Source organism: Homo sapiens, chromosome 13, assembly GCF_000001405.40.
Source record: "Homo sapiens chromosome 13, GRCh38.p14 Primary Assembly".
NCBI classification, from domain to species: Eukaryota; Metazoa; Chordata; class Mammalia; order Primates; family Hominidae; genus Homo; species Homo sapiens.
In genome coordinates, this window is record NC_000013.11 from 59,447,930 (window position 1) to 59,471,210 (window position 23,281).

The 23,281-nt window shown below is 40.7% G+C and overlaps 2 annotated features.

The window, feature by feature from the left end:
• Positions 78–591: an enhancer, noted in NCBI's record as "OCT4-NANOG-H3K27ac hESC enhancer chr13:60022141-60022654 (GRCh37/hg19 assembly coordinates)". NCBI's record gives its function as "activates a minimal SCP1, AML or CMV promoter by ChIP-STARR-seq in naive and primed H9 embryonic stem cells {active_cell/tissue: H9 hESC(naive and primed)}" and the evidence as "EXISTENCE:reporter gene assay evidence [ECO:0000049][PMID:30033119]".
• Positions 592–1,105: an enhancer, noted in NCBI's record as "OCT4-NANOG-H3K27ac hESC enhancer chr13:60022655-60023168 (GRCh37/hg19 assembly coordinates)". NCBI's record gives its function as "activates a minimal SCP1, AML or CMV promoter by ChIP-STARR-seq in naive and primed H9 embryonic stem cells {active_cell/tissue: H9 hESC(naive and primed)}" and the evidence as "EXISTENCE:reporter gene assay evidence [ECO:0000049][PMID:30033119]".

The window sequence follows — 23,281 nt, forward strand, 5'->3', positions numbered from 1 at the left end:
TGCCAAAACAAAATACCACAGACTGAATGGCTTAAACAGCAGAATCTTATTTCTCACAGTCCTGGAGGCCAGAAGTTCAATATCAAGGTGCTAGCAGAGTTGGTTTCCTCTGAAGGCCATAAAGAAATGATCTTTTCCAGGCCTCTCCTCCTGGCTTGCAGATGGCCACCGTCTTGCTGTGTCTTCACGTGGTCTTGCTCTGTGCATGAGCATCCCTTGTATCTCTGTTTCTAATGTGTATCAGTGTTTCCTGATCTCTTCTTATAACAAGGACACCAGTCAGATTGGATAGAGCTTACCCTAATGCCCTCATTTTAACTCAATGACTTCTTTAAAGTCCCTATCTCCAAAAACAGTCACATTCTGTGGATTAGGGTGTTGACATATGAATTGGAGGGGAGGGGAGGACAATTCTGCCCATACCAGCAAGCAATGTGGGAATCGTCTGTTGGGTTCAGTGGTAATGACTCTTCCATTCCTAAAGTTTTTCACATTCTTCCTGCTCAAAGGATGAATGGAGGCTTTGTCTTATTCAGCTGTAAAAGCTTGAATTCTGTTATTTGCCTGAATGGAGGAAAAATTAGCAAAACAATGTGGACTGCTAAGGTAGCCTAACCCCTCGTAAGGTTTCTGGTCTCGCCCTTCTACCCTGGGAATAGAGAAGAAATGACTACATACCTCAGTGCAGTGTGGATTATAAGTGTCAAAACTTTAGAAATCTCAAGCTAGAACATGGGATCTACTAGCAGATTTCAAAGCCCTGCCTAGTACAGGGTCTAGAACAATTAGGAGCTATCTGAGTAGTACATCTCTTAGAATATTGGCTGCCATCATACCCCTTTCTTGTTTGCACCTCTCATCAGTGACTCCTATAAGAGCAGGGATTTGCCACATGTACATGGTTTCCCCATTCCCAGCACGGTAGCAGACACACAGCAATCATTCAGTTAGAACCTGCTGAAGGAGCTTACCTTCTCCTTTAGAGAAGTTTTAGAGTGGCCAGGCATGGTGGCTCACACCTGTAATCCCAGCACTTTGGGCGGCTGAGGCAGGCAGATCATGAGGTCAGGAGATTGGGACCATCCTGGCTAATATGGTGAAACCCCGTCTCTACTAAAAATACAAAAAAATTAGCCGGGCATGGTGGCGGGCACCTTTAGTCGCAGCTACCCGGACGCTAAGGCAGAAGAATCGCTTGAACCGGGAGGTAGAGATTGCAGTGAGCCAAGATCGCGCCACTGCACTCCAATCTGGGTGACAGAGCGAGACTCTGTCTCAAAAAAAAAAAAAGAGAGAAGTTCTAGAGCAAGCACAGTCATAGGTGAGATAAGTCGTATGATTTCAAAAATCACTGCCTTTGGGTTTTCTGAGTAATTTGCTTCAGATTTTCTGCCCATTCTAGCTAAGAGAAAGGCAGTTTGATGTTATCATAAATCATGGGTATTGCACTTTTTTTCTACCACTCTATACAATCTAGTTACAATACTTTTTTACCTAGCTGAAGGAGATAACTCTGAATATGAATAACCTTCCCTTGATAGCATTTACTTTTGGTTTGATTCATGTGCGTCCCAATCAGGGAAGAGCCTTCACAAGATGGCATCTGTCAGCAAGGGCACATGTACTGAAATCTTGCTGCTTTTTATATTTTTACATAGTATGGAGTAATTTTTGTTTCCTCTAATCAAATATCTGACATTATTCATTGTATTACATTTCTCAATAGAGTGATCCAAACACAAAGTGTCCTCCTAGATGGTGAATGAACATGTGCTCATCTCCATCATGTGACTGAAAGGAGATTGTGTCCAGGTGTATCTTTATTGTGGTCTATGCAAATGTAAAGTCTGTCTACTTGCACGGTTCAATTTCCTAGTGCAAGGATTCCTCTATCCTCTCATTTGCCAAGATTCCCAGGAAGGAAGCATGTAACAGTCATTAGAGATAGCGCCCAACTACAAGTGGAATCTCCATATCAGCATCATCTAATATTGTTCTTTCTCTTCCTTCCCTCCCCAGCTTCCTGCAACTGAAGGTCATTCCTCTTTGTTAGAAGACTAAGGGTCCCTGACCTGATCTGTGGAGCACCAGGGTGGAGAGAGTGGAATAAGCAGCAAAACGAAAAATTGGATGCTGTTTTCAAAAGTTTTGTTCTCATTCTTGGATTATAGATTATCTAAAGGGAAAATTTAACTCAACCAAAAAATTCGTTCAGCTCCATGAAGCTAAAGATGCTATAAACTGACTCTTTCCTAAAGAGCACCAAACCTGAAATTTTTCCTGCTAGAGAGGAACTAATCTTCAAGGACACCTGTCTATTGCTAGACATTAAGAAGGAAGGTGAACTCCGTTCTGTCTTCATAAAACACATTTTTGTCTTTCCCCCTCACTCCTCCACTGAACCCACTATGTTTACAAGTACAAGCTATGACTGTGGAGGTGGAAAATCTGATACTGTCAGCACAAGTGGAACAAAATGAAAAGAGAAAAAAATCTACACACCCATCTGGACTTCCATATGCTCTGTAGCCCAGAGGCTAATATAATTCCTTGAATGTTGGTTATAAAGCAATGTGATATGGATGACTGCTATGCACTGAGCTTATTTAGACAAGTGTTCTTTCTACTCAATAAACCTTTGAAAGGATTAAAGTACAATCACTCCCAATTATCTGTTCTTCCCTTTCTATCTGAGTTTTCACCATATCCTCCAACTGATCCCTGTTTCTACCCCATTCTAATTCCCCATCCACAGGACCAAGTGATAGTGTAGTGAGAAGACATGACATTCAGGGAATATTGAGAAGTTTAATGTGACAAGGGTGCTGGGTGCATGGTCAGGCAGGGGCTGCTGAGAGATCTGCCTAAAGAGACAGGAGGCAGAGTGTGAACGGCCTTGCATGCTATGGTATGAATTTTATCTTCTGAGCATCAGGAAGCCTTGAGAATAATGTGATGAATTTTGTTTTAAAGAAATAATTCTGGTGATAGAATGAACAGTATGCACAAGAAGAAAAAAAAAAAAAAGGATGAGAGGGGGACTAATTGGGTGAGATTGCCATGGTCTGGCAGAGAGACAATGAAGGCCAGACTCTGAGAGGGGTGGAGAGCAAGGACCCAGTTCAATTTTGTGGTTAGATTTATACAATGGGAAAAATGACTCCCTTCACTTCAAGGAAACAATGCAAGAGTAAACTCCCTGAGAAACCCCTTTCTGGATTTTTGCAGCCCCTTATATATGAGGAACAATATTAAGGAGACTTGAAATATGCTTGTTGAAGATTGCTCTTTTAAAAGGTCTTAAAATTATACCCCTGACTTCTTTATCTTATAGGACAACAGTCTTTAATATTATAATTTCTCATCTTTACATGGAGGTTGCTTCCCTATTATTTTAAAAAGCCATAGTTTTCTGCATCCTAATGTATTCCTATATGCTGAACATAAAAATGCCCTAATTTTTGTTCCTTTTTTTTCCCCAATCATGACTCAGATTTCTGCCTCTGAAAGCTCCAGTAACAGACTTGACCACCAGCCCTTTAGTACATTTCATAATGAAATTAAAACTAAATGGATTTCAATGATTGGGTTTATATGTTTCCAAGTCCTCTTGTATAGACATCCTTTAAAGTTGGAGACTACACAATGGTCTTTGTGCCTGTTATGAAAAAAAAAAAAAAAAGGGGGAGGGAGATTTTGCAAGATACTTTTTTCCCTAAAAATGTAGCTCTAATGTTAAAATCCAGTCAAAACTATTGTCATGTGCAAGAACTTAAAGGATCCATGCAGCATGCAGGATTAACAAATGAACGCTATCATCATAATTTACAAAGATTGCACTGTGCTAACAAAAAATCTCCATTGATCCGTGCTCAAGATAATTGTGTGTTCCAAAGATTTTTACCTGTTAGAAAGGATGAGGTAGCTCAGTGGAGCACTGTTTTGTAGGTCAGCAGGTTCAAGGTCATCCTTTAGAAGTGGCTTCAGAAGAGCCCAGGGTGTGATGTGAATTAGATATATGTACTGACCTCAGCAGAGCTTGGTGCCCTGGTGCTCTGGGACCCAAAGCCAGGGATACAGGAGAGTCAAGATGTTACGTATCTGAGATAGGTAGGAAGAGGAAACTGTGAAACTGTGAGACATGTTTTGAAAGAATTAACAGTTTCCTAAAGAGTGAGGGAAATAATCTAATATTCTCACTGAAGCTTCTTGGGAAGCTTGGACACAAATTTCCTTCACCAGAGAAGCAGATATTCACGATTTCTGTTTTTTTCTTTGTTATGAAAATGATCACAGGTTAAAAGAGAACTGCATGTGTTGGGCCACAATTTTGAGCGTGCATGCCAGTGTAATGGGAGAGACGGCAGCAGAAGCCCTCACCTGTTTTCATGATGGGCGGCGCAGGCAGACAAGCTCTCGGGAAGCAAACAAGCTTGTCAGTTCACTAAGGAAGCGGCAGACCAGCTGTCACTCTATTGCACAACACTTAGTTTTTAATTTTATTCCAAAGACAGGAAAGCAGAAGTCCAATACCACCTCTCATTTCTCTTAAGTAGCGTAATAGAACTGAGATTCTCCCAGTCACAAAGAAAATGTAATCAGAGTAGCTAAAATAGGAGGAAAGAAAATATATCAGGGAGAAGTATACACCAGCCGCTCACTCAGGGGCCAGGTTTTCAATGGGCCTTCTTAATTGTGTCTGCAGTCTTTAACAGCAGCTTCCATTTTCACCAGTATAAGCCCACATTTCAAAAGCAAATTGGATACCTGCATGAACAAGCAGGCAGTTAGGCAGCTAATTACTGTGTGCAATTCAATTACCTAATTACTGTGGGCAAGTGTAGGGTGTTTGTGCAAGCAAACAGTCCCACCCACAAATATTGCAGATTTGATTAAGAAGGCTTAGGTGCAAAGATCCATGTTCATTGCTAATGCCTAATAGGTTCAATAATCTTCCCTCTGGGCCCAGGAAGGTCCTGGTTAAGCACTTTTCTAGGATTAGAGTGGGGAAAGCCCTGCCTAAGCGAACCTCACCAGCCTCCCCCGTGCCAGGCTGAAGGCTAATCTGGAACTTTGCCTTGCTACTCAAAGTGTGGCCTGTGGACCAGCAGCATGGGCTTCCTCTGGGAGTTTGTTTGGAAGGCAGAATCTTGGGCCCTACCCCAGACCTACTAAATTAGAATTTGTATCATGATAAGGTACCCAAGTGATTCATATGTACCTTTGTATTCAAATACAAGCCTGCTCAAGATAGAAGGCTACCCTTGGTGCCAACTTATGCTAAGTAAGCTAAGTCTGTGTGGGGACTGCCCTTCCAAGCTCTCCTTGAAAATGAGAACAAATCTGGTATCCAAAAGATGACCACCAGTTACTCAGCCATAATGAGCAAACTGGATGCTTTAAGAGAAATCCCAAGCAGTCAACCCTTCAGGAACGAATCCTAAAATGTTAATACTCAAAGTACCCAGCATGTGCCCTGGGAGACAGCAGAGATGATGTGGCTGGGTTCCTCCATAAACTCATCTTTCACACATCATTGCAGGAACATTCTCCATCCATTTAGGATCTGTTTGACTTGTGGTATTTATCTTCACCTGTGACTACATGTTCAGCATCAGATTATTCTGCGAATGTCCTCAACCAGAACTTTGAGTCCTATTAATCAGTCCAGTCTGCCTCCATGGAATAACAGTATGCGAGGACTCTATTTTGTGGTCTCTGCCAATCTCTGCAGAGACAGACCACATTGATCCATTTACTCAAACATTACCGAGAGGACGGCTATGCAGCCTTAGGAACAGGCATTGTCTACTCCCAAATAGACTGCTTCAAGCACTTCATCAATCTTGTTCACTTTGCATGGTGCCGGAACCGGAGAGCAGTGCCATTTTAGGCAAAATTTTGTCATTTGTCTTCATGATGTAGAGGAAAAGTACCGCACAGGAAATGGGGCTCTGACTCCACGACTAACCAGCTATGTGACCTGCGGCAAGGCACTTAAGCCTCAATCTCCTCATCCCTAAAATGAGGGGACTGAATTGGACTCTTTTCTAATTCCCTTCCAGTTCCTACAATAATTTGTCATCATCCTTCCACACTTGGGCTCTTGGCCTCTAAGTCCATGTCCAGCAGCGAGGTACCTCCATAAAGTATATTTTTAGACCTTCTGATTTCAGGCAGCTCCCCAGGGTGGGACTTCCCAGCTCTCTCCTACCTGCAGTTTTCTACCATGAATCTCATCAGATTCAGAGCCTGCTTCAGCGAGCCATCCCTTTGGCAACCTTCCAGAAAGAAGTGCCCTAAAGTACTAGCAACTAATTTAAATGCATTAACCTTCCCATGGAGTTTTTGGATTTGAATGGGAAAGTCTTTCCTTAGCACAGAGGACTCAGTTTCTTTTTTTCTTTCTTTCAAGATGGAGCCTCACTCTGTCACCCAGCCTGGAGTGCAGTGGCACGATCTTAGCTCACTGCAACCTCTGCTTCCTGGGTTCAAGTGATTCTCATGCTTCAGCCTCCCAAGTAGCTGGGACTACAGGTGCATGCCACCATGCCTGGCTAATTTTTGTATTTTTAGTAGAGATGGGGTTTCATCATGTTGCCCAGGATGGTCTCAAACTCCTGACCTCAGGTGATCCAACTGCCTCGGCCTCTTAAAATGTTGAGATTACAGGTATGAGTCACTATGCCCAGCCTCAATTTCTAACGATGAAATTTTAAGCTTGTTTTCCTAATAAGGGAACTGTGGCATTTCTATAAATAGCCCACAAAGCACAATCCCACTCTTTTCATTTCAGCAACTGAGGCCCAGAGAGATTAACTCACTTGCCCAAGAAGATGCCGCTAGAATTAGAACTAGTATTTCTCAAATCTCAACATTGCAAGCAGCTTCATCTTTCTTATTCTTCTTATTATGAAGGCTGCTGCGGTTTGAGGTAAGTGCTGACCAATCGACATGATGATTAACTTTGTCTCCCAAAAAGAGGCAAGGGCAGACCAGATCTCAGACAGCAGATGGACAGCACTTCAAGGTTTCTTCCATAAAGGAAAAGAGAAAGTATATTCCACAATAATGCTTTATTGCAGTTATCCAAGCTAAAGTTAATGGGCTTTTTTCTTCTTTTTTTCTGAGATAAGGTTGGGTTCTGTTGCCCAGGCTGGAGTGCAGTGGCGTCTTCATGGCTCACTGTAGCCTCAATCTCCTGGGCTCAAGCAATCCTCCCACCCCAGCCTCCCAAGTAGCTGGGACTACAGGCATGCACCACCATGCCCAGCTAATTTTTGTATTTTTTTGTAGAGATGGGGTTTCATCATGTGGCCTGGGCAGGTCTAGAATTCCTAAGCTTCAGTGATCTGCCCTCCTCATCCTCCCAAAGTGCTGGGATTACAGGCATGAGCCACCATGGCTGGCCGAAAGTAAATGGGCTCTTAAATTCAACAACCCAAAGGGGAAAGACAATATTGCTGAAAGCACAGAGTTTACTGCAAGGGAAGAAGAACCGAGAGATGCTATAAAGGAGATGCAGTAAAACCTCAGGAGATCTAACTCAGTTTCTCACTGGGGTCAACAATTCTATGCCTTTGACTCAGATTGAACTAGATGATCTCTAGTTTCTCTCATATTCTGAAAGTTATTTGAAAAATTGTGATAGGTGGGAATAATGAATCAAACCTAAAACAAAGGAATAAATGAAAGGTCCAACATGTGGATTCATATAAACCGAACAAGAACAGGATGGGGTGAAGATAAGACTTAGCAACTGTATGATTAAACAACAATCACTGACTCCAATTAAAGTCTTATATGACTTGAAAGGGTTAATTTGAGTTCAAGCAGTATTTATATACGTTGACTTTAACACAGAGCAAGGACAATTATAGTCCTGTCCTGTTTTGTTAGACCACACCTGGAGTGTTGCATTCAGTTTTGAAGCCACATTTAAGATGCATGTGGACAATGAGAAATATGCTCAGAAGAAAGTGACCAGAAGAGTGAAGGGGATTTTGAACCTCGCCATGTGAGGAATGATAGGACGTGGAATGTTTAACCTGAGAAAAAAGAAAAGCCCTCACATGACCCTATGACTGTGTCATTTTTGGGAGCAGTTGGCACTATTCTGTGTAGGTCCAGAGAGCAGAGCCAGGGCCAGTGTGAAGAAGACGCACAGAGGAGAGACTTCTGAGCAGTTAGGTGCATCCAAAGACAGAACAGGTGACCTCAGGAGGTCACTCACTAGAGCAGTTCAAGCCCTTCTGTTTGTTCTTCTTTGGAAAAGATCCAAGCATCAGATGAGTGGATGAACAAGGTGACATTTCCTGTTTCTTCCCAACTAAGAGTCTATGAAATGGAGAGAAAAGCTGGACAAAAAGAGAAGACAGAGATGAGCAAATGCCAGGTATTTATTACTGCTCTAAATGAAACCATTCCTGTCTCAGGAACAGCAATAAATCATTCATTTTCACAGGGGATATTTTTAGTGTACGTTGCTAACATGCATAGAAGGCACTTCTGCAGAATTACAACTATTAAGGCACTCTTGATGTCCCTGATACAACAAGGCTATCACCTATTCGATTTATTTTTTGCTAATGAGATACAAATATCTTATGTTTACAACCAGAAAATTCTTTTTTTTTCTATACTAATATGTAAATCCTTTCTCTGTGTCTTATTTAAGGCCATTGTATCTCATTAACAAATTTTATTTTTACCTGACCAGTAAACACACATCACATTAATGACAATTCTTATCACTGAACTTCATTAAGAAGTGTGGTATCTTCACTTTGTATACATTGCTGGTGTCTTCGCTGCTGCTGGTGTAACTATAATTTATTAAGATGTGATTGTCTTCAGTAGTGTGACCATCTGTGTTATTAATACAAAAGCAAAACAAAATCTGCTTTTATTCTTACTTCCACTGTCTTGCCCCTCCAAAATCTAGTCTTATCGTGACTTCTCTAAACAGTGTGAACTGTTTGCTGATTTTAAGAATCCCCATTTCGAGAGCTGTTGAAACTCACCTTTCCTTCATAGACATGGGGAAAATCACTAAAACTCTGACAATGCACATCATAATCAAATGTGCAGATGTCCACAACTATTACTTAGCAAAGGTGCTGAGTTTATCAGAGAAAAATGTCCCTCTGTAGTTTGTATCACTATATTCTGTTTTGAAATTGTACTATATTATCCCCAATAAACATCTGAAGACACAGGGAAGAAAGATATATCAATCTATAAAGGAAGAGCTCTTTTTTAATAATTAGAATGATAAGCTACTAAATCTTTTTCTACGTTTGGGGAAAGGCAAAAAGGAAGCAGTGATTTTTGGACAGCTAAGGGACAAAATGAGGCCCCTGCACCCTTAGAGGTAAGGAAAAGAGCTGGTTAGGAAGTCGGAGCGAGTACATAAGGGAGATGTGAAGACACCAGAGGCCATTTTTACTTGGCTTTTGGTTTTGCCCAGCTTATAGCGAACATAACTGCCAAAGAAAAGAGTTAGGCCAGCTCATACCTGAGGAGGAGGTAAAAACAGCCTCAAATAAGAGAAGCCCTGGTCCATCCCAGACCAATGAGAATCTCTTTCCTTGTAAAGATCTCTGAAAAATCTATAATGTCCCTCAATAGCTCTTTCCATAGCTGCCTAAGAAATATTTATTGATTGAATGACTGTTCCCAGGGAATTCAGCCCATTCACTAACTCGTGATTTCAAACTCGTGTCTTCCAAGTGGTCACTAGTATTTTTACTGTGTATATCACCTGTTAGGAGCCTGGGGAGGCAGGCAGAAAGCCCACAACAAACAAGCCACATAACAAAGTTCATTCACCTAAATCTCAGAAGCCAATGGCCTTCACTGGGACTCTTTCCACCAATCACAGGTCAGAGGAACAAGTCCTTAGTCCAGGTCAGCCTGTTCTAACAGCCCAGCATCAGAGAGAAGAGCCCCAGGTTACAAGGAGCCTGTCCATCCCTGAACCTCTGAAGATCTTATAAAAGCGTTAACGAAAATAACTGGCATTGCTCTATGCTCTATTGATGGGGGGAACAGGGACATTTTTATATTTTGTGTTTCATTTGATTCTTAAGACAAACCCATGAGTTAGCAAGGGTGATTATCATATCCACCAATTAGCAAATGAAGACATCAAGGCAAAAGAAATTGAGACTTGCTTCACTAGTCAGTGTCACTCAACCCTGACCAGCCATTTAAAACCCTTAAGGTCATATGGATAGTAACAGAATTGGGGATTACAATCCAGATACTCAAAATGCTAATTTAATGTTCTTTAGCCAAGCCAATCACTCTCTTCTCAATATTATCCAATTCTCTTCAAAAAAGAAAAGCTATTAGTTCCACATTAGTTCCAGGAACTGTTCTAGGTTCTGATGAATCAGTCAAGTCCACAAGAAGTTTAGATACTAGACAGGTAAGTAAATAATTATGTGATTTGGACTGTGGATTATAATAAAGATTCTTAAAAGATGCTGGGAACACAGTAGAAAAAGTTCCGTTTCTCTGAAGATGTCAATGATAGAATGTTTCAGCTAGTTCTCAAAACATGAGCAGGAGTTCTTGAAGTACAGAAAAGGCAAGAAATATCCTTGCAGAAAGAATAGGGTAAATCAAGTCACAGAAATATGGCAACTTAGAGACATTGAGTTGGGGCTGGGTTGGGGGACAACTGGAGCTATGGAAGAGTCCTCTAAAAATGAATAAAGACCATTATCAATAACCTATTAAGAACAGAGTGCCAGGTTACAGACACCATTCTACTGGCATGCTGACTAGAAATGAGAACAGCAAGTCCCCTTTTTGCTTATTCTAACCTGTCTTCGTCCAAGCTGACATCACTGTTCACCTCCCCTTCTACGCTATCCAGGAGACATCAAATGTAATTGAACATCCATAGCAAGTTCTATGTTTGCAGTGAATGGAGTCATTCATTCTGGCTACAGGATCTTCATTACAATTGCATGAAGCTTTCACTGTGGGCCATATTATGAGAGTATACTTGGTGCTGGCACAAGGAGAACTGCCTGGTAGAGCCAGTTGCAAATGTCATGTCCAGCTTTTACGCACAAAGGAAATGAGAGCTTTAAAAAAAAAAAAAATCCAACGCCCATTGCATTGTGATTCATCTTCTTCCCATCAGCACCAGGATGTCTCAGATTACATTGTCTGGCTCTCGGGAAAGAGAACTACGACAAGGTTGAAGGGAAGGGTTGCCACTGTGGAGTCAGGGCCTCTCCTCTGAGGCTCCAGCTGCAGATAGCCACGGTTCCTGCTGACAGTCGAGCCAAGGTCTTCCCGAACGATGGCTGAAAAAGCCTTTGTAAAACAGAATGTGAACCCTGGAGCCTACTGCTCCTGGTGGGAGTCGAAGAAGGGAACAGTAGGAGCTGCCTGTAATTTTCTTTGTCTGTGGCAGCAGAGCAAGGGAAAGAAGTGTCACAAACATGAGGGAGAGGAAGTGAGAGATCTTTATGCTGAGCCACTAAATTCACTGGAGGCTGAAAACCACAAAAGTAAGTTCACATAAAACACCACTTGGCATTTCACCTGGTATGTTTGAGAACTTTGGGTGCAAGGATTTTTAAATTATAGCTGTCTCATCTGTAGACAGGGAGAAATGATCTTGTCTGAAAACTTAGGACCAAGCTATGGGGCCCTGAGTACCTACATCTGTGAGGGTCTAATTAGAGAAGCAATTTATTATAGAGATTTGACTTTAGAAAATTGAGGGAGCTGGTAAAACAGTGTCTGCAAGGCCATTGTCTTTGCATTTGATGCTGGAGCTTGATGTCTGCTGGGCAGGCAGTCTGGAAGGAATGGGTGGATGTAAATCAAGTAGAGAGAACAAGGAAAAGCTCAAACCATGTCAGTTTCTCACTGTCTCCTGCAGGAGAAGATGGACTCTTCTTCACTGAGGTAAATACACACCTGGGCCAGGAGTCAAAGAAGCTGAAAAAGGATGCAGGGGAAGGCACAGCAATTGCAGGTGAGGCTGCTGCCTTAAACACCAATGAGGTGAGCAGGCAGATGAGGAGCAAGGTATTTGAACCACAAAAGCACCCGGTGGCCCTACCTCAATATTCTAAGCATAAAAAAAATATGGCTGCTGTTAGAGTTTGTGCCCCCAAAGCTTGCACAAAAATGTATCTTGTGGCACAGCTTAATTAGAAACAGACAGAGAAGGGGGTTCTAGGAAATGCAGCACAGCCCTGTCAGTTCAACATGTTACAAAGCCACTACATGCCTTCAGAATTAAGTCATGACTTTAAATGGAAGGTAGATGGCGTATAGATGTTGTATTAGTTTCCAAGGGCTGCTATAACAAAGTAACAAAAACTGGGTAGCCTAAAAAAGAAATTTATTCTCTTATAGTATTAGAGGCTAGAAATCCAAAATCAAAGCATCAGCAAGGGCATGCTACCTCCAAAGGCCCTTCAGAGCCTAGGGAAGAGTCCTTCCTTGCCTCTTGAAGTTTCTGGTGGTTGTCAGCAATCCTTGGCATTCTGTGACTTGTGGCAGCCTGGGTCCTTTCTCTGCTACTCTCTTTAAATGGCCTTCTTCCCTGTGACCCTGTGTGTCTTCCCCTCTCTTATAAGGGCACAAGTCATACTAGATTTAGAGCCCACACTAATTCTGCATGACTTCATCTTAATATAATTAATTATATCTGCAAAGACGCTATTTCTAAAGTAAGTCATATTCTGAGGTTCTGTATGGACATGAATTTTGTAGGGGACAGAATTCAATCCAGTACAAGTGTTGTAAGGGAAAATCTAGAACAGAAAATGAACAAAAATCTTTGAACAGTGGGATCAAGCAAAGAATGTGGGCGCTTATAAAAGGAGCGGCTTTGTTCCAAATAATGTGTTCAGGAGTGTAATTATGATATCAGTTAGACCCTAAATTTGTTGACATTATGTACAGAAATATCTATAAGACTCAAAGGCATGTGTTTACTGTTTTCTCATTTATCTCATTTATTTTCTCATGGAGCATACCATGTTGTTATTCAAAAGAGAAAGTATAGGCTCAGAGAGAGATTAAATAGTATGCCCAAACTATGCCATCAGAAAGTCGGCCGAGCACGGTGTCTCACGCCTGTAATCTCAGCACTCTGGGAAGCTGAGGCAGGTGGATCACATGAGCTCAGGAGTTTGAGACCAGCCTGGCCAACTTGGTGAAACCCCGTCTCTACCGAAAAAATACAAAAATTAGCCAGACATGGTGGTGCGCGCCTGTAATCCCAGCTACGCTGCAGGCTGAGGCATGAGAATCGCTTGAACGCTGGAGGTGGTGGTTTCAGTGAGCCGAGATCATGCCACTGCACTCCAGCCTGGGCGACTGTCTCTCAAGGGAAAAAAAAAGAAGAAGAAGAAGAAAGTGGTGGAGCAAGGAACTGAACTCAGGAGTGTTAGATTCCACAGGGCATGTTCTTTTATTACCCTTATCATGTAACGGTAAATAACACTCGCTAAAGTGAATGCTAGCAAACTTCTTCAGGCCATCTCTTACTTATCCTTCGACGCTCATATTAAGTCTTCTCTGAAGATTCCCCTAACTGCCCAGGACAAAGTGAATTCCTCTGATCTCCCACATTGAGATCACAATTCCACTCTTGTCCTCATTCCATTGTATTATGTTATCTATTTGCACATCTGTTTCCTGTCTTATGTGTAGCTACCATATCTTGCCACTGCAGCAGTCCCAGTACCCACCCACCCAGTGCCTTGAACATAATAGGAACTCAAATCTTGACTGATTAAAGTCCTTCAAAGAAGGTGCTTCATTTTATAAAAATGTCTAGATATGTTATTCTGTAACCTTCCCCCATACACAATTCTCAGACTTTAGAGACTCCAAACTCTTCTTTATACCAAATAAAATACTGCTACTTCAATGCAAATTCTTATTTCTTTTCTCTTTTCTGAGGATGTATACAACTGGTTTTGAAAATTTCCAAAAAAATATCAGGTAATTGTATGTGTCCATTTTTCTTTTCCTGGTTAAATAACTCAATTGATAATCTAATTTTCTGGGGTTTTTTGTTTTTGTTTTTGTTTTTTTGTTTTTTTGAGACAGGGTTTTGCTCTGTCACCCAGGCTGGAGTGCAGTGGTGTGATCTCGGCTCACTGCAACCTCCACCTCCCAGGCACAAGTGATTCTTGTGCCTCTGCTTCCCGAGTAGCTGGAACTACAGGTGCCAGCCACCATGCCCAGCTAATTTTTGTATTTGTAGTAGAAACGGGGTTTTACCATGTTGGTCAGGCTGACCTCAAACTTTTTTTTTTTTTTTTTTTTTTGGGACAGAGTCTCACTCTGTCGCCCAGGCTGGAGTGCAGTGGTGCCATCTCAGCTCACTGCAAGCTCCACCTCCCAGGTTCACGCCATTCTCCTGCCTCAGCCTCCCGAGTAGCTGGGACCACAGGCACCCGCAACCACACCTGGCGGAATTTTTTGTATTTTTAGTACAGACGGGGTTTTCACCATGTTAGCCAGGATGGTCTCGATCTGACCTCGTGATCCGCCCGCCTGGGCCTCCCAAAGTGCTGGGATTACAGGCGTGAGCCACCACGCCTGGCAATTTTATGCTATTTTTAAAATAGCATAAACAATTTTAACTATATTTAAACTATAGTTAACTATGTTAACTATACTAATGAACACACTTAAATATTTACCATTTTATTTTTGGTTTTAGGTCATCTCATAAGCTAAAAAATCCACATGAACCCTAGCCATGCTTTTGATTCTATTTTCTCCTGTGCATCTTCTCCATTTCTTCCTACCTTGTCTATAACTCTAGGAACAAGCATTTGCCTTCATTAGACTATCTCAATAACTCCCCAAGGAAACAGATCACCGTGAAAACTATACCAAAGAGGAAAAACAGTCAAGGCAAGACTAATTTGAGACCACCACCTGATCTGGGTCTTACTTACTCCCATGGGACTTTCAACAGCTAAATTTTATTTTTATGTTTCTAATAGCCTTTCATCTGCTCAGTCCTGTGTTATCCACAGTAGAGGCTACAATGTCACAAAAGGCCAATGTATTTGAGTTCCATGGCCAGCTCTTGTTTCCTTAAATGTTTTAATCCATGCCCAGTGATGTCCTAGATTCTGGTTATTCAAAATGCAGTCCACAGACCAGCAGCAGCATTACCTAGGCGCCTGTTCGAAATGCAGAATCTCTGCCCTGTCCTTAGACTTACTGTCGCAGAATCCACATTATGACAAGTCTTATGGTTAATTCACATGTACATTAATTTGAGATGCACATCTCCAGATAATTGGAAACAGCTGTGAGATAGAGGAAATAGGCATGGATTGGCATCAAAAGACCTAGGCTGGCTCTGCTCTATTTCTACTTGGGTGACCTTTGGAAAATCACTTTGCATTTCTGACCCTCAATTCCCTCAACTGTATATGAAAAGTGTAAAGTGATCCAAGAGTCACTTGCATCACATTCTTAAGTCCTACCCTATAATTACTGAATCAGAATTTCTCAGAGGTTTACATTTTTAACAAGCTTCCCAGGTGATGCTTAGGTACATTTTCATTTGAATCACTGTCGTCAATAAATGTAAGGAACAGTCTTTTCTATGTCAACGTCAGTGCTAGTGATGTGTGCGTCAGTTCTAGCAATGCCAAAAAGAGGAGCAGTAATTGGAACAATCTCTAAGTTGACATTTGTGCTATATTTTGTCTTCTGTCTTTAACCTCCATCATAGATGAAGAAGTTATAGCCTTTCCTTAAACTGAATCATAACAAGAGGATTGCTTTATAGGAGAACTACCAAGACTGGCAATCATTTTAAACTATTCATCCAAGACAAAGGAGCATGGTGCCTAGTGGGTTATTGTACTATCAGTGGCTATTCATTGCTCTTCTGATTTGTCTAAGAATATCAAAAAGGTTTCCAAGGAGATGTGGCTTTCCACTTCTCCTTCACAAGATGTTTCTACACCTGGCAGTTAAATGAAATGCTGAAAACCAAATGCTTTTTTCTTACTGCTGTGCAAGCTTTCTAGATCAAAGAAATCCCTTCAGCAGTCCTATAAAATTAAGTTAAGGAGCAAAATGATGGAATTCAACACTTAGTGAGCCTCTCCTCATACTGGTCACTGTTCCAGTTATTCTATTGCTACTGATTCAGAAAGTTTCCACTGCAGTTCTAGCAGGCAAAGTTTATTTGTTGCATTTTCTAGATGATGATGAGAATTACTGTTGGACACATTACTTAATGTTTTTTGCATAGGTTTTATTCTGGGGTCCATTTCGCTCATTAGAATCTCAAAAAAAATAAAATAAAAACCCTAAAAATTAATACTCTAAGAGTACCTAAGTTACAATTCACTTAACATTGAATCTCATTTATTATTCTTAACCTTACAGTGTCATGCAACTTAATTCATGAAACATTATTTACTGTTTGTTTTGCTATTTGGGCTATTGATATGTAGGGTGAGGGAAGACTATACATCACTAAATGATAATAGCCTGGGAAGACTGTCTCACATTTTTCATAGGCTATTAATAATAAGATGAGTACAAATAAATGTGTTCATATCATGTGAGATGGAATAAAAAATATGCTGTTAGGAAAGAGCCTGGGGAGTTTCCAAAGAAGGAAGCACTGGTATCTGGCTGAGGGGACAGGCAAGGTATAGGAAAGGATCTCACTGTGCTGAGATGGAAAGTTGAGCACTGCAGGGAAAAGCTCACATAAGCAAAGGTAGGGAGGTCAGGAAGTTCAGGGTCTATTCAAACAAACAGTTAAGCTCCATTTGGTTGGTTTTGGTTCACTGTGGCCAAAGAAATATGCAGGAGAAACCTGCAAAGGGGAGATGATATTATGGTGAGCCTTGAATGTGAAGCCAAGAAGCATGTCATAGATTCAGAAGGTTTGGGAACTAAAGAGCATTTAGTTAGAGCTGCACTTTAAACTCACTCTGGCAGCACCATTTAGGGTGCTTGGAAGAGAAAAAAAGTCTGTGGACAGGGAAGAGGGCAATAGTCAAACCAAAGACCCTGAACAAGTGAAAGTGGAAAGGGGCAGTTGCCGTGAGAAACATCCCTGGAGCAGAACGTGTGCACCTTGCCAGGACACTGAGCAACAGCAGGAAGGAGGGAAGCACTCATATCAACAAGAGGGAATGCAGAGGGGAAGCCACCTGTGGCCCCTGATGTCACCCCAAACCGCATTTATACTCCAGCTTGGTTCCATTTCCTTAACCTCTTTAAATCTGTAAACTCATTTGTAACACAGGAAGAATAATCTTACAGGGCTGTTTTGAGATGTGACTGAGCAAACTTGTAAAATGCCTCATTCAGAGCGCTCCTGATACCTTGGCTTCCTCCTCCTCCTCCTAAGTCCTCTTACTCAAATCATGGTGGATGGAGCAGCAGTGGCATCATGACCTGGAAACATGTTGGAAACGTAGATTCCCAGGCCCCACCCCAGACCCACTGAATCTGAATGTGCATTTGGACATTATCCCCCCAAATTTCTGCACATTAAAATTTGGGAAGTATTACCCTATGCAATCCTTCTAGAATGCTCCCCATCCAGGTCCCCCGGCTTCTCCCTGACTTCTAGCCTTAACGCTACCTTTCCTTACCCCACTTCTCACCCTCAAGAAAAAAATGAAAGAAAGAGAAAAAATGAAGGGAAAAAATATAGTAGAGCCCAGAAGAATGCCTTATGAGTATAATATGAAAAAGTAATTTTTTTCTTTCAGTAAAATTGTCACAAGAAGGCATTTTTAAAATAGTTCTAAAATGTGAGTTACAGAAATGTTTGAAGAAAAATGATTTCCAAAGACACATTTAGTTGGCAGTTTCTCTGCTGTGTTTGTGGGGGGTGGGGACATCTCATTATTTTATCAGCACGCCCATAGTCAAGCTTTTAAAATGATGGATAAAAGGAAAATGCAGTGCTCTAGTGACAGTAGTAATCCAATTTTATAAGGCAACAATCAGGACCTGTGGCTGAGAGAGAAGAACCTTTGATTTCGTGGATTAAGGATCAAACTCGGTTCTGAATGCCTTTGCATTTGGCCACCATTCAAACCAAAGCTTTTAGGCTCTTGACATTATGAAGCAACAACATAGTCAAAGATCAAAGGATGGAGAATTCTCTGCATGTCGGGGTTAGCTTGGCCTCTGCCAACACAGGTATTCTCTGCATAACATCAGCAAGCACAGAGAAACTACTAAGCTGGTGAGCTGGCGGCTCAAGGCAGCAAAAACAGACATTCTGATTCCAAGCACAGAGAGGACAGCAGGATGATCTCTAAGGCCTATGCCTGCGAAGGGGCATTCATAATAAGAAAGCGAGAGCCACAAAATGAACAGCCCTGGATCAACACCTCAAAAGTCTATCCAACATGGACCTAGGTCTACCCACAACAGTCCTCAAAATATTTTTCAAAATCTTTCTGGGACTATCCTACTGAATCCACTAACCCTGATAAGAATCAGCAACTGACAGAATATCCTCTGATTTTATTTCAGTATAAGTAAGTGAGAAATATGTAGATTAAAAAGTATATGCAGTTGATTGAATACTATATTACAAGTAATGTAATTTTAGGTTATTAGTGATAGCACCACTGTAAAAGAGACTAAATAACAAGAATGGTGACAGTCTTAATAACTTCCCGGTGATACAGATAGGAAGCAAGGAAATACCGGGTAGAAGAGGGCAGTTCTCTGTTAAAGGCCCCAACCTTCAAGCCTGGAAACACACAACCCTAAATGGGAATAGGCATTCCTGGTTTCATGCCCAAATGTTGCCTTTTGGCTTGCCACGCTGCCCCCATCCTACACCCATACAAACCCCAAACTCCAGGCTCCACAAGCAGATAACCAGGCAAACGGAGGAGCAGAAGAGCAGCAGAGAAGGAGAGAAGAGGAGGAGCATCTGAATGTCAAGAGGAGTTTGGCTGGGGACAGTCGAAGAAGAGATTGGCCGCTGGATGGCCAAACTCCAGGGAAGATCATCTTCCCACTCCATCTGCCTTTCAGCTTTCCATCCATCCCACTGAGAGCCACTTCCACCACTCAAGAAAATCCTCATATTCATCCTTCGAGTCCATGTTTGACCTGATTCTTCCTGGACACCTGGACAAGGACCCAGGTACCAAGAGGGCATTGAGCTGGTTAACACTTAAGCTGTCCATGTATGGCAAGGCTAAAAGAGAACACTGTAACACATGCCCACTTGGGCTTCAGGAGTCTCAGGCTCCCACCCCTAGATACTCCTATGGGGCTGGAGCCCAGCGGTGCTCACTCCAGTTCCTGCACCTGCCCATCTACATGCTCCCCCTCCTGTAGAGGGTTTGAATGCCAATGGCAGCTGAATAGACGAGCCACACCCCTGTCTCACATCCTCTGCAAGGGGGGTAAGGGAACTCTCCCATTTTACCAGTGAGTTCTTGAGTGAGTTACAAGCTGCATTTTAAGTGCCCATAATGTTGTCAATGATGATAATCTAATAATTAATTTCCATTTATTGAGTAATTACTCTCTGTGGGAGACTGTTATTACAAAATGTTGCCATAAGGGTGGTATATAAAATTTCCACTTCTATAAAATTGATAGGTGATAAAAGATGAACCTAGCCATCATATTTACATCTTTCAAACCACAAAGTCCTTTTCACTAATTAACACTGCCTCTGCGAAGTCGTCCTGCCTAACTGCATTCTCAGCCTTCTCATTTGTAAAATAAAGACCTTATCTAGATCATCTCCCATGTCCTTTCTAGCCCTGACAATCTTTGATTCTCTGTGACCTTAGGTTAGTTGTATAGAGTAACGTGATGATAAATGTTATGGGTCAATTTGGCTAACCTAAGCTATGGTGCCCAGTTATTTAGTCAAATATTAGTCTAGATTATGTGATAAAGATAATTCTTAGATGTGATTCACATTTATATTCAGTTGACTTTAAGTAAAGGAGAATATCCTTGTTAATATGGGTGGGCCTCATTCAGTCAAAGGACTTAAGAGCAAAACCTGAGGTTTCACAGAGAAAAAGCAATTTTGCCTCAGCTCTTAACTGAGATTCCAATATGCCAACCCTACAGATGTTAGACTTGCCAGCAGCAATTCCTTTAAATGTAGATATATATACATACTATTTGTTCTGTTTCTCCAGAGAACCCTGACTAATGTAAGTATGAAGTAAAATCATTTATAGATTTTGAATATGGTGTTTTGCAATCATTAGGCCTATATTAGAGCACTAAACACAATCAAAAGTAGGTATATTGAAGCAACCTCATTAAGATGGTGGAACAGGAAGCCCCAGAGCCTCCTTTTTCCCATAAAAACACTTATTCAACAATACTTGACAAATTTTCTCTATGTAAAATCCAGAAATGAGCTAAGAGGCTCTTGAAACTCAGGTGAGTGTTAAACCAGCCCATATTGAAGGAAGAACTAAAAATGGTGGCATCATCTCACTATAGTTCCTTCCCCTTTGCACGGTGAAACTCCTATCTCCTGGCTTCTTCCTGGGTAGAGAAAGGAAAGACTGAACCATACATCCAATGTTCTGACTTTTGTCAGGGGACTGCAGAAGAGACCAGTTTTGGTTTCGCCTGTCTGGAAGTGCTGATGAAACCCAGCATATTCTAGATGCCTGGGAAACACTGATAACAAAAGAGCTGGGTAGTCAGCTGCTGCTCCAGAGAACCCACAGTATAGCAGACAGAGGTTGATACAGCTCTGTGACCTCTCCTTTAGGGAGAAAGAGAAGAGTAAAACATAGGTCTAATGTTCCAGCTTTTCAGGGGGCTACCTAAGGGACTGGTTTCTGTCTAGCCTGCCTTGGGGTACTTAGGGGACCCAACATAGTCTAGATGCCACTGAGGACAAGAAAGAGTGAGGAGGCATGTTTCAATTTCAAAGAACACATGCTACAGCAGACAGATACCAGAGGAAGCCAGAAAGTATGAGCTTCTGAAAAAAAAGAAGAAAGAAGAAGGAAGAAAGAAGAAGAAAAAGAAGGAGAAGGAAAAGAAGAAACAACAACCAGCTGATCTCTCTAATTGGGAATCTACATGCACAAGTTCAGAGAAGACAAAAACGCAAAAAAAGATTTGAGGGGGTCCCAAAATCTCTAGCCAGGCTGATTGGTGAAGGTTGTTCCCTTTATGAAGCCAGTCCATAAAGACTGGGAGAGCTGCTATTTTTCAAGTGTAGGATACCCACAAAAAGTTACAAAACCAATGAAGAAACAAGGTGAAAAGTCCCAATTAAAGGGACAAAATAAATCTCTAGACACCAACCCTAAAGAAATGGAGATACATAAATTACCTGACAGGTATTCAAAATAACTGTCAATAAAATGTTCAATAAGATAAAAAAGACACATAAACAAAATGAGAATTTCAACAAAAATATACATTTTTTTACAGAAAGAAGCAAATAAAAAATTTGGAGCAGAAGAATGCAGTTATTGAAGTGAAAAATTTATTTGAAGAGTTCAACAGCAGTCTTGATCAGGTACAAGAGAAAAATCAGTAAACTAAAAGACAGGTGATTTGAAATTATTCAGTCAGAGAAGCAAAAAGAAAAAAGAATGACAAAGATTAAAGAAAGCCTAAGGAACTTATGGGATACCACCAAGCAGACCAACAAATACATTATAGGAGTTCCATAAGAGGAGAGAGAGAGATAAAGGAGCAGAAAACTTATGTAAAGAAATAATGGTTGGGAACTTCCTGAATTTGGGGAAGAAAATGGACATCCAGGTTTAAAAATCCCAGTGAATTCCAAATAAGATGAATCCAAAGAAGTTAACACTGAGATACATTATAATCAAATTGTCGAAATTCAAAAACAAAGGGAGAATTTCAAAAGCAACAAGAGAATAACAACTCATCACATACAAAAAAACTCCATTAGACTATTAGCAGATTTCTTAGCAAAAACATCACAGGCCAGAAAGAAGTAGGGTTATGTATTCAAAGTGCTGAAAGAAAACAAACTGACAATAAAATACACTATATCCAGCAAAACTGTCCTTCAAAAATGGAGAGATGAAGACTTTCCCAGATAAGTGAAAGCTGTGGAAGTTCATCACCACTAGACTTGCCTAACAAGAAACACTAAAGGGAATCCTTCAAATTTAAACAAAAAGATGCTAAACAACAACACAAATGCATATGAAAATATAAAGCATGCTGGTAAAGGCCAATATATAAATAAATATTGAATTTTGTAATACTGTAATAGTGGTACATAAATGACTTTTGATTCTGGTGGAAGTTATAAGACAACAGTATAAAAAATAACTATACTAAAATATGCTAATGGATACACAATATAAAAAATAATATGTGATATCAATATCACAAGGTTGAGAGGAAGGAGTGAAGTGCAGAGTTTTTGTATGTGATTAAACTTAATTTGTTTCAGCTTTAACTAGACTGTTATAACTATAAGATGTTTTATGTAAGCCCTATGGTAACCACACAGAAAATACCTATAAAAAGGCAGAAAATAAAATGAAAAAGGAATGAAAAATTTATCACAAAAATATCAACAAAACGCAAAATATTGCAAGAGAGAAAAAAAGGACAAAAGAGCTATCAGACACATACAAAATAATAACATGTGGTAGTATGGCTTTCTTTATCATTAATTACTTCACATGTAAATGGATCAAATTCCCCAATCAGAAAACATAAGGTAGTTTAATGAATAAAAATCAAACAAACAAGATGCAACTATATGCTGTCTACAAAAGACTCACTTTATATTTAAAGACACAAATAGGCTGAAAGTAAAAGGATTTTTAAAAGATTTTTAAAAAGGACATTTCCTGCAAATAGTAACCAAAAGAGAGCACAGCTGGCCATATTTATCTAGGCAAAATATACTGCAAGTCAAAAACTGTCACAAGAGACAAAGAAAGACATTATATAATGGCAAAGTGTCAATTTACCAGGAAAATAAAAACATTGTAAATATATAATGCAGCCAACATTACAGCACCTAAACTATGAAGCAAACATTGACATAACTGAAGGGAGAAATATACAACAACACAATAATAGTAGGAGATGTCAATACCCCAATTTAAATAACAAATAGAACATCAAAACAGAAGATCAATAAAGAAACACAGGACTTGAATAACAGTAAGGAACAAATTGACCAAACATACATATACAGAACATTCCTCCCAACAGCAGCAGAATACACATCCTTCTCAAGCACACACAGAACATTCTCCAAGATAGATCACAC